The sequence below is a fragment of the Homo sapiens genome, chromosome 8 (assembly GCF_000001405.40).
Source record: "Homo sapiens chromosome 8, GRCh38.p14 Primary Assembly".
Lineage (NCBI taxonomy): Eukaryota > Metazoa > Chordata > Mammalia > Primates > Hominidae > Homo > Homo sapiens.
In genome coordinates, this window is record NC_000008.11 from 49,711,718 (window position 1) to 49,724,025 (window position 12,308).

Sequence of the window (12,308 nt, forward strand, 5' to 3'; positions counted from 1 at the left end):
TGCACTCCAGCCTGGGTGACAGAGTGAGACTCTGTCTCAAAAAAAAAAAAAAGTGGGCAAAGAACATGAACAGATGTTTTTCAAAATAAGACACACATGCAGCCAACAAGCATGTAAAAAAAGGTCAACATCACTGATCATTACAGTAATGCAAATCAAAACCACAATGAGATACCATCTAACACCAGTCAGAATGGCTATTATTAAAAAGTCAAAAAATAACCAATGCTGATGAGGTTGTGGAGAAAAAGGAATGCTTATATACTTTTGATGGGAGTGTAAATTACTTAACTGTATGGAAGGCAGTGTGGTGATTCCTCAAAAACAGAAATATCATTTGATGCAGTAATCCCATTACTGGATATATACCCAAAGGAATATAAAGCATTCTTTTATAAGGACACATGCACACATATGTTCATTGCAGGGCTATTCACAATAGCAAAAACATGGAATCAATCTAAATGCCCTAAGATTATTATTATTATTAATTACTGTTATTGATAATAAAAGACTGGATAAAGAAAATGTGGTACATATATACCATGGAATCCTATGCAGCCATAAAAAGAACGAGATCATGTCCTTTGCAGGGACATAGAAGAAGCTGGAGGCAATTATGCTCTGCAAACTAACACAAGGACAGAAAACCAGATACCACATGTTCTCACTTGTTAAGTAGGAGCTAAATAATGAGAACACATGGACACACAGGAGGGAACAACACACACACCAGGGCCTATTGGAAGGTGGAGGGTGGGAGGAGGGAGAGGATCAGGAAAAATAACTAGTGGATACTAGGCTTTATACCTGGGTAATGAAATAACCTGCACAACAAATCCCTATGACATTATTTTACCTATGTAATAAACTTGCACATCTACCCCTGAACTTAAAATGAAAGTTATAAAAAATTAGAAAAGAAGGTTAAATGAAATCTGTGTTTTCCTATAGGCAATGTGTCATTTGTCTTTGTTTTCTATATTTTTATGGTCTTCTTTTTTAGAAGTTTAATATGATGTGTTTAATTTTGAAAAACTTTCAGTTTTAGCCTAATATTCAGTATCTTTATGGTGCGCTTGATTTGTCTGCTGCTGCTCAACCTTCCATGGTTCTCTAATGATGCAACCTGAAAGGTGGAAGAGATTTCCCCAGAAAAGGGGAGGGGGAGGAGAATCTCAGGACTACAAAAATGAAAGGTCATCTTTTCATGAGGACTTGTGTTAGGTTCCCTGCCTGCGGGGGTTGGGAGTGCATGCTAAGCTAGGCATTAGTGGGGCTCCCTTTGCCTATGTCACTTGGCGCTCCTAATATCTCTCAGTTGAGAGCAGAAAATCTCAGGCTGATGGAGAAATAGAGCCATTCTCCTACCTACTTCTGGTTAAAGGAACTCCGGATGGATCTTCCTGCCTGTGGACTTAGTTCATCTGGTGTTGTCAGAGGAACTCCCATTCCATCAAGAGAATGAGTTCAGCCTGCTGTTACCAGGTTGGATGTCAGGAAAACCCTGGTCTCAGTCATCTTGTTTTGCTGGATAAGGGGAAAGGAGAGGCACTGATACCTTACTATTCCTCTACTGGGCTCACAAGTGCATTCACCTTCCTCTACCAGCATTTAGAATTCTTTAGTTTCATCCTGTGTTTTTCCCAGGGTTTATAGTTTTATTTCACAAGAGGAGCCAGTTCATAAAACATAAAATAGCACTGGGTCATTGCCATTTGACTGGGATCTATTGGCTGAATATGAACGAAACCATGCGTAGTAGCTTCCAGGTGAGTTAGCAGATGCCAAGCCTTTCTTAAAACCACTTTGCACCTATTACAGCTGTAGGTATTTGAGACTACAATTCTTGTAGGTTCTGTGAAAGCATTATAAGACAAGCATATTCATTGCTTCTGAAGGTAAAACAAATCCTCACATTTGGAACTGTCAGTTGTGGATTTGGAGATGTGCTTCCGGGATCTTTTCTGATGAAATTTTCACCAGAGCTGCTAGAGGGTCTTCAGTGTTAGCCCTTTCAAAATTGTCTGAGCTGCAGAGAGGTGCTTTGTCCAGTAATAGCCATATGCCTTCCCACAGCAGGCTACATTCCATGACTGATGAATGCCAAAGTCTATAGGCCTGCACTTCTCACTCTATGGAGGCCACACCTACCTCTACAGCAACTTTGGGGGCTGTCTGACCTGTCCATGGGCCTGAATTTCAGCTATACTTCTGTCTCTGCCCAGCCCAGCTTCCTTCCTTCCCTTCCACAGGTTCTGATATCAAGGATATTCCTTAATAAACACCTTACCTGTTAAAATCCAACTCGGAGTGACTTCCTGGAGATCCTGGAGTTAAGAAGGGCACAACGAGGGCCAAATGGAGGTCATAATACATTTCTAGACACAATGAGAGTGAGTTTTGTTTGTTTTGTTTTGTTTTAAGAAAATTCCACTGGTAGCCGTGTGCAAGGTGATTTGAGTAAGCAGGACATGGTTTCGTGAATAACAGATGGCAACCAACACGTATTATGGAAACATGAGATAATGACTGGCTGAGTCATGGTAGAGGTAATCAACAGAAGGGGTCATGAAAAAAAATGCTTGGACTCTACTTCAAACAAAGGAAAGGGAAGATTTTTTAGAACTCTCTCAAAAATTCTACGCTAAGAAAAAAAACAAAAAACAAACTTGTTTCTCTTGACAGAATAATAACAAGAGAAGTCAAAACTGTGGATAACATAATAATTTCAATACATATATTCATGGGAGCCAGAGTATATGCTTGCAAGTATTTTACTTTCTTCAAAATATCTTATTTTTTCTTTCTTTTATCTTAATCTCTCATTTTTTATTCTTCACTTTTAATTTAATCCTTTAAAACTGAAATTAAAATTTATTTATTTTACATGGACCTTTAATTTAAAATTTAGTTTACATGGACCTTTAATTTTTAGCTAATGATAAGCTTCCATTAATTTGAATTAATAATTTATTGTTTAAACATACTTTCAAGCATATATAATCAAAATGTTGTGAACAGTTAAAAGAAGTTTAAATATTATATTGATTAGTGTTTCTTAGTCGCATCAGAATCACTTGAGTTGCTTGGAGAACAAATGTTGATTTCTGCGTCCTACCTTTGTCATTAAACAAGTTACTCTAGGACCCATAGGATCCATATAAAGATGAGGAAAAAGTCTACCAGTCCTGAACACTGTCTACTGCTCATGTTCTAAGCTTCTAAGCTCTTCTTAAAGTGTAAGAAATAAATTTGCAAAGACCTATTATATTTAAATATGTTCTTTTTAAAACCAGTTAACTGGGAAACAAGGAGAACCTGAAAGTTAGTAGTAAGACCATTAGAAGCAATTGACTACGTAGGTGGGGAACAAATCAGTTATTAAATTAGAAAATACAGAAAAATAAGGGAGGAAAGACCTTTCAGCTTGAGAAATCTGTTATTGAGAAAACCTACTAATGTCTAAACTAAGGAAACTGGGTGATTATTCTGTTAAGAGAAACATGCATAATCATATGTAGAGGGTTGTTTTCCTCCTCTTTTCCAAGAGTCTAATATAAAAATGGGCTCCTATTTGTAAATTTTAGAAAAGTTCAAAAAGCTTTGGTCTAAAAAATCAAAGATATAGAAGTCATGGCTATCAGAAATATTATAATATAAAACTAAAATGTATAAAAGAATGAAAAGAAGTTAAAGTCTCTTGGTTTATGGTTTTCAAATGCTGACTCCCCAAAATATCACCAAAACAATTTGTGGAAAGACAATTCTGAGCATAAAGTTCCAATAGCATCTCAGAGAGGGAAAGGTCAACGTTGTGGTATTTATTAGGATTTTATAGTGTGGCTTAAGGTAGGTCTGCCAATGTAGGGGTGTGGTTAGGATTGGCGAACATAGCACAGAGAACACTTGATGGGTTATTTAAGAGGTTCCTAAAATGAGCAGGAACATTATTGGCAATGCTTGTCTTCCCAGTAAAGTAATTCCTGGAATAGTAAAGTATGATTGATGAAGGCAGTGGAATAATAACTTTGTTACAGTAGGTAGCTAGTCAGTCATGAGCAGGTCAAGAGAGGACTCCTCATAAGCAGGAATGTCAGGCAACCATCAGGTGAGGGTCAGGCAGTTGTTACACTATTCCTCTAAAATAATAATTGGTGCAGGCAGGCCAGGGAAAGGCAGCCTCCTGATAGATAGAAAACACCTGAAACTGGTGATCAACAGCTTCCCAATAAGATCTCAAGAGCTGGGTGAGTGGGCTCAGGACTACGCTTTGAGAGACAAAATGGCAGAGTTTAACTGGTATATGACCTTCTAGGAACATTTGGCTGGTAAGGGAAGAACGCCTCAAGTGAGCAGGTGTACAGCTCCAGTTACACACTGCCTATGAAGCCCCTCCCAAGTACTAGCAGGCCACTGAGCATGTGGATAGCCCACCCCAAGGGAAGGAACAGGGGAGAAGGGACGCAAGCCACCAGAAGCATGCCAACATATAAAACCCTAAGTGACAGGTCCAATCATGCACTTGATCCCTCAGGTCGCCCACTAGCCCTCATCCAAGTATACTTTGCTTTCTTTCATTCCTGCTCTAAAGCTGCCTCAGTCTCTCCTTCTGCCTTATACCCATCAGTCGAATTCTTTCACTGGAGAAGGCAAGAATCAAGGTTGCTGCAGACCCATACACATTCACTGCTTAACTGCATCATGTTAATACAGAAAAGACAATAAATTTTGTGGTTACAGATGTGTGTGGTTTTCAAGATACAGAAGAATTTTTATGCTCCAGAATATACCAAAAATTTAATAATGTACTCTATTGACAGGGCATGTTATGTATGTGATGAAAAGAATACTACAAATTAACTATTAAAGAGACAAGTGATCAAACTGAAATTTTTATCAATTAGGATTCATTGTCAATTTAAGACTATACCCAAGACTATATTGAAATAGAGGTTACAGCCAAAGTAGAAGAAAGTTTTAGTAAGAAACAACATCTCTGGAGCAGTTTTCTTTCTTTCTTTCTTTCTTTTTTTCCTGATTGAAATATCTCCTTATTATGTAGGTTGGTTTTAACAGTGGTCAATTCTGTAGAAAGAAAGACCAATTAAATGAGAACAAAAAGAGTCTATTTGCTGAGAGCTTGCTGTAAGAAGGGAGTAAACCTTTTCACTTGCATTTGAAAGTCACTTAAGGCAGGTGGGGCAAGAAGGCTTTCTAGTGAGCAAAAGGGAAGGCCACAGGCATGCTGTGATTGCTGATGTATGAAAGATGAAGGCAGCTGACTAGTGTGGGAGGCCAGAATATTCACCCCAAAATATGTAGGATTGTTGAGCTGAAGGCAGTCAAGAAGCAGATGCAGTAAAGTTTTCCCTCTCTCTATCTGCCCAAAAGCAGGACACAGATTTACAAAGACAAATGATATTCTGCACTTTCTCTACCAAAGAGAACAGAAGTTGACTAGGGAAGACATTAGGCCCTCATCAGTCTGGAGGTGATACTAGAGGAATCTGCAGTGACAAATATTACCCCCTTGCCGTTATATGCCAGTTATTTCTCTCCCCCACAAGTCTACCACCCCTAGAGACTCAAAGTCTTTTTCTTTTGTCTTGCTGCTTCTCTAAAACTTTTCTGTCCTTTACTAAATATGCTATATAAGCTGGAATTCAAAGCTTACTTCTTTGCGAACTACTCATTCCCAGGGCGTGTCCCATGTATACGAACTATTCATGTGCTATGGTCTGAACGTATCCCCTCAGTATTCATTATGTTCAAATTTAATAGCCAATGTGATAGTATAAAAAGGTAGGCTCCTAGGAGGTGATGAAGCCACGAGAGTGAAGCCCTCTTCAATGAGATTAATACCCTTGTATTAAAGGTTGGAGGAAGTGTTCTAGCCCTTGCCCCATCTGCCATGTGAGGAAGTTATTAAGGTGCTGTTTTAGGAGTTATTAAGAAATTATTTTAGGCAGATAGAGAGGAAAAGGGGTCCTTAAGAAGTTTTCGCTTCCTTTAAAGCAGCTCCAGAAATGTTTCTTGTCTAGCAGGAAAGCCCAGGCTCTTAGACCCAGGCTGGCTACCTTTGATATGCAAATCCCAGCCATTAGAAACTGGGTTCACCCAAACATGGTGATTCCCATCAGTGTCTTCTTGCCCTTGCCCTCACATGTGTCTGGCAGCATGGCCGCCCCCACATATCCCCACTATATAGAACATCATGGCACCCTGTATTTGCATATTAAAAGGCTAGGGTGGGAGGGCTATGTGAGCGACAGGCCTGGCCAAACCAATCCCCTGAGCCCTATGCAAATCAGACACCACCTCCCCCAGACTCTTCATATAAGTAGCCACGTTTCTAAGGCACTGGGGTCTCCTCTCTTGGCTTTGGAGCTCCCATCCCTCTGTCGCTGTACAGGGGAGGTTCTTCCTTCATTTTTCTCTTTTCTTTCTTGCCTATTAAACTTTCTGCTCCTTAAAACCACTCCAAGTGTGTCCGTGTGGTTTTATCCATTTCACGTGAGACAAGAGCCCCGGTGCTCCTCCACTCATCAGAGCTGCATCAGTGCCATCTTCAAAGCAGAGACCAAGTCCTAGCCAGACAACATACCTGCTCAGCTCTGATCTTGGACTTAACAGCCTCCACAACGGTGAGAAATAAGTTTCTATTTTCTATAAATTATAGCAGCCTGAATGGACTAAGACAACGCTAATAAACTGTTTTTATCTTGTGAATCTGTCTTTCATTGCAGGACTCTGCTTCAACTACGAACTTAGGAGGTTAAGTAAAAACATGATTTTCTATTTCCAACTAGAAGCTGGACATCCTAAGTGATTGGTTAGAGGAGTATGTTTAGTTTTCTCTGTCTGGTTCCAAGTTGAAAGTAAGAACAACAACAACATGGGGAAGACTGCAATTTTTGACCACGTCCTGATCATTCTGTGCTGATCGCCACCAAGCTGGGGGTCAGGGTTCTGTTATCATCTCTGCTCTGTTCATTGCTTGAATATTCTCTCTCTATCTATAGAGGGAAAAAACAATAACCTTCATTATCAGAAACCTCATTCTAAGTTTGCTTTTCTATCTAGGTGTCCACGTACAAATCACTTAGCTTTTTAAATATACAAATATGTTTCCTAACTGAGTAGCAATAGAAGTAGTATTTTTGCTAGGCTTGAGTTGCTTACTATTACAAAAAATTATACTTATATTTATATAATAAAACCTAATCTTAGGCTCAAATGCACATAAACTAAAGGGCAGTGCTTGTCTTTTGCTTAATATTCATATTACAAATTAATTTTTATTTATAATTAATATATGAACATGATCTTTTCAAAAAATACACAATATGATGGTTAAATCTAACATCCTTTTTTGATAATCACCCCTGGTTTTAAGAATATAACTGTCTAGAGAAAATAATTAACAGAGGTCATTGTGTATTATCTAGAACTCATTGTATGCCAGGCAATTTTCTGACAACCTCATGGAGTCGGTACTATTTTTATCCCTATTTTACAGATGAGGAAACTGATGCCAAGAGATTTTCACATAGCTCACCAAGTCACTAGCTAGTAAGCAGTAGAGCCAGGATTCAAATTCAGGAAAAAAAGCACATGAGAAGGTTCATGCTGCTTCCTGATCAAACCCTTACTCTCGAAGGGTAACCACCATCCTGCTTTCTAACTGCATACATTCATTGTGCCTCTTTCTGTATTTTATATAATTTCATATAAAAATGTGTTTGTACATGGCATATTTTGTGGAGTGTTATGTTTTGAAATTTATTCATGTTTGCTGTCTATAGTTGTAGGTCATTCTTCTCTTTGCTGTAACCCATTGTGTGAATGTACTTCAACTTTATCATCATTTAACTGTTAGTGGGCATTAGGATACTTTAAAGTTTGAGGTAATTATGACCAGTGCAATATGAACATTCTCATAAATGTTTTTGATAAACATATGCATCAGTCTCATTTGAATATTTACCTAGAAATGGAATTCCTGTATGAGATCATAGAATACATACATATTTAGATTTCGTAGATACTATCAACGAGTTTTTACCCACTTGATACACCACCAGTGGTACATGACAGTTAAGTTTAATTGACGTATTTCAGCACTGTGCGAGTCTGTAGTATTTAGACTTAACAGAAAGAGATGGATATTTCCCAAAGAAGTTTCATTTCTAGTTACATATATTAGCTGAGCATGACTTTTTTGTTAACTTCCTAGGGGGGATGAGTGCTTGTGTGATTTTTTTTCATGAGCTAGAACTCACTAAAATAACTCTTGCATGTATTTGCATATATTTTACATAGGATACTGCTCTCTAAAATTATTCTTGCATTTAAGAAAAAATTGCCTTTATTGTTTCACACTTTCAAAAACACATTGACATGCATTATAACACATGATTTTCAAAATAAGGCTTTGATATGTCCAAGGTTGCACAATGAATCCCCTAAAAACACTGCCTAAATTGTGATACAGCAGTCACGAAATTGTAATAAGTTTGGTGCATACAATGCATTTCAATGGTAATCACTTAACATCCTACCTAGTACCTTGGCTTCCTACAATATTTATAAAAAGTAATAAATTCTAATATTGAAGCAGTAGATAATATCTCAAAGAAAAGATATTGACCAAAAGGACAATGAAGTAGGTCTTTAAATTTTTTAAAGAGAATGATAAACTTTGACATAGATTATTCTGACAAGGATAATCATTATACTTTTTTTTAAACAATAAGTGTATCAATTTAGATTTCTGATAAAACAAAAAGGTGTTATTTACTTGGCAGAAAAAAATAGTACTTACAGGTACTGATATATTTCCAGTTGTGAAGGTTTTTGTAAAATGATATCAATTTACTTATTTCTATTTAATGCCCCAAATAGCTCTGCAGGGAAATGTGAATCATTTCAATCAGCTAAAGCTACAATATAAAACCACTGGAGTATAAACCTTTGAGAACTGTTTTTGAAAGACTAAATTACCTTAGAAATACATATTTCTCTGTTCATCATTTATCTTAAAAGTAAAATTTTATTTATTCCTTGAGGGACAGTCAACATAACAATTTTGTAGATGAATCCCAAGCCTAACATCAAAACCGAAATTGTAGCTGAAGGATGCTGCCTCAAATCCTTTGATTTAGCGTATTAATACCAAGCATCTAAGGTTTTAAAATCTAAAACAAATTGTAATTTTTAAACACCGAATAGTGTATGATTTTTTAGATGTTGCAAAGTCACCGCTGAATATTCAATGCCTGACAGTTTGGAAATGGGTTCTGTAGAGGGAAAGTTTTACAGAATTATATATATTTGTGTGTGTGTGTTTGTGTGTGTATGTGTGTTATCCATTGATAAATAAGCCCAACTGAAAATTACTGTGTTTATTCATCCTTCACTGTGTTTTGTAAACATTTGCTGAGCTTCTTCCATAACACTAAGAATTGCGCTTGTGCTTGTGCTTGTGAAGGGGCCCCATTGGCCTCAGTGCTCTGAGAAAGTGGGTTCTGACAGATCTTGAATGTTTCTGGTCAGAGAAGTGTCCTGGAGCCTTTCAATAACCTTGACAGACCAAGCCAGCCTGTAAGTCTTGAATGACCTTAAGAGTCCCCATTGAGAAACCAAATCAACAATCCCTACCAGAAATGTAGGAATGGATCAGGAGCAACCAAGCCTGAAGCAGAATGGTAGGCTCTCCACAGCCACCCTCACAGCCCTCACCCCAGATCTGTGTCAGGCCAGGTTTTGTCATTAGGGTGTCTGAGATGTTTTCCAAGGCAATCGGTCCCGCATTATTCAATATTTTGCCAGATCTAAAAATAATCCTTACATTTACATATTTTATTTAGATAGAATGCGGATATAGGTTAATGAACCTCTAAAACTTCTCATGGAAATCCATCTAAAAGACTATTTTAAAAAATACTGTAGTAGATGTATACAGTAACATTCTAGATACTGCTCTGTAGTAGAGAAGCATCATGTCTTCAGAATCTTTTACCTGAACTTATTTCTTCCCCAATAAGATAGCACTTTATATTGGCATTCATTAGTAGGGATATTAAATGAGTGCACTATGCTGTTAGATCAATGATCAGCACTGTGTCACGCTGAATGTACAATTATATCCTCACGCCATAAATCCAATAGTGTCTTGTATAATGAATGAATACTTTTAAATGAATGCATATAAAAATGAATCAAGAAAAATAATGCAAAAAAACAGAAGCAAAAAGTATTTTTTCTTCTTTTTTATTTCATCCATTTCTGATCTAGAAAAGCAGTTAGAGTGACATCTTGAAAACAGTCAGGTGAAAATGCTGGAGGTACAGCCAGACATATTTTTAACCTACATAAGAATATTTTGTCTTTACCAAAAAACACAAAAACTAGCTGGGGGTGGCGGGTGGCACACACCTGTAATCCCAGCTACTTGGGAGGCTGAGGTGGGAGGATTGCTTGAACCCAGGAGGTGGAGGTTGCAAGGAGCCGAGGTCGTGCCACTGCACTGAAGCCTGGGTGATGGAGCAAGACAAGTGTCTCAAAAAAAAAAAAAAAAAAAAAAAAAAAAAACAAAAAATATTTTGAAAGTAAAAGAGGGCATCATTAACAATTGCATCAGGACATTGATTATAAATCATAGCAGACCTGTATCAGAGTTACTAATTATAGGCTAAAGTTTCCCTCCATAAGTAGATAATAAATAAAATTAGACCAGGAAATAAAGCACAGTTCTTTAAAGCACTGGCTTCATCTGCATCAGATTTCTTCTCTCCTGCTGGTTGCATTAAGACCCTCACCCTCCAAATATATTTGACAGCCATTATCCAGCATTGACTATCTTTTCTGGATCTTGACTCCACTTTGTTCCTAGCAAAAGGAAACATGGTATACTTTGGGGACCTGCTGTGGATGACTGCCCTCCTTGCATTCTCCTGATCACTCTCAGTTATAGCCAGTGGCGATGGGATCTGCCTCTGAAGAATCCTCCCCGTGTATCTGCTACTCCTTGCCCATGAAGAAGCATTGCTCACCTAGACCCCTGTCATCATCGGGTGCTTCAGATCTCTCTCAGGGAGCATCCTCAAACCAAAGTGCAGAAGGCCAGCCCTCAGTACTGGCTACAGAGCAGACACTGCAGTGCTAGGATTCCTCCCTCAGTCAAACCATTCAAAGACTTGGGATTCTAACCATAAAGTTCCCTCTGAAATCCTTGATAAACCTAAATATCACTCTCTGTCTTGTTAAAAACTCTCTCTGTCTTGTTAAAAATTCTATAGCACCAACAGAGAATCTCATGTTAATTCTACTAACTAAACAACATCTATCTTCATTTCCTATCAGATTTTGTTCTCTTTTAAAAATCTTCCCAAATGTACTGAGGGATCTTTTGTACTTTCAAAGATCCGATTTGAGGCAGTCATTGTACGACATGTTATTTATGTGAAACAAAAGCAACCGTTTTCTAGTTTTGCCTTTTAAACCACTGTGTAAGCTCATTCAATACCCAGCTCAGCCTTAGGAAACAACTTACATTTATCTCAAATGTCAATGTTCAGTGAGAAGAAAAACTTTAGTCTTACACCCCATATATTGAATTGTAGTCACGATGCTACAGTTTACAGGTTTTGAACTAAAGAAAAGATTTTCCCCTCTTTATCACTCTCTTGGTCTCACAAACGAACATATAAACACATATATAAAATGTACATTTAGTGCATTTGCTAAAGAACAGATAGAATGATCCATGAAACACAACTGAGACTCAGAAACAGACCCAAACACAGTCAACTGTTTTTTGACAAAAAACCCACAAAACAATTTATTGAAGAAATGATAATTCTTCCAACAAATGGTGTTGAACAATTAGATGTTCATATGCATAAAAATGAGCTTTCACCTACACTTTATATTTTATATAAAAATTAATTCAAAATGGATTTTGGACTTAATTATAGAATGCAAAACTATGTAACCCAGAAGAAAACATAGGAGAAAATCTAGGTTATCTTGAATTTGGTGTTGAGTTTTTAGCTACAACACTAAAACATAATTCATGAATAACAACAAAAAAAGGTTGAACTTCATTAAAGTTAAAATTTTTACCCTAAGAAAGGCACTGTTAATAGACTGGAAACATGAGTCAGTGATTGCAATAAAATATTTGCATGTTATATATCTGGTAAAGACATGTATTCACAATATGAAAAGAATCCTAATACAAAATAAGAAAACAATCCTAATAAAAATACTAAAAAGACTTGAATGCCCAAAGAAGATATAGA

At 37.3% G+C, this 12,308-nt stretch overlaps 1 annotated feature.

Moving 5' to 3' along the window:
* Nucleotides 4,868-5,548: an enhancer, noted in NCBI's record as "OCT4-NANOG hESC enhancer chr8:50629145-50629825 (GRCh37/hg19 assembly coordinates)". NCBI's record gives its function as "activates a minimal SCP1, AML or CMV promoter by ChIP-STARR-seq in naive and primed H9 embryonic stem cells {active_cell/tissue: H9 hESC(naive and primed)}" and the evidence as "EXISTENCE:reporter gene assay evidence [ECO:0000049][PMID:30033119]".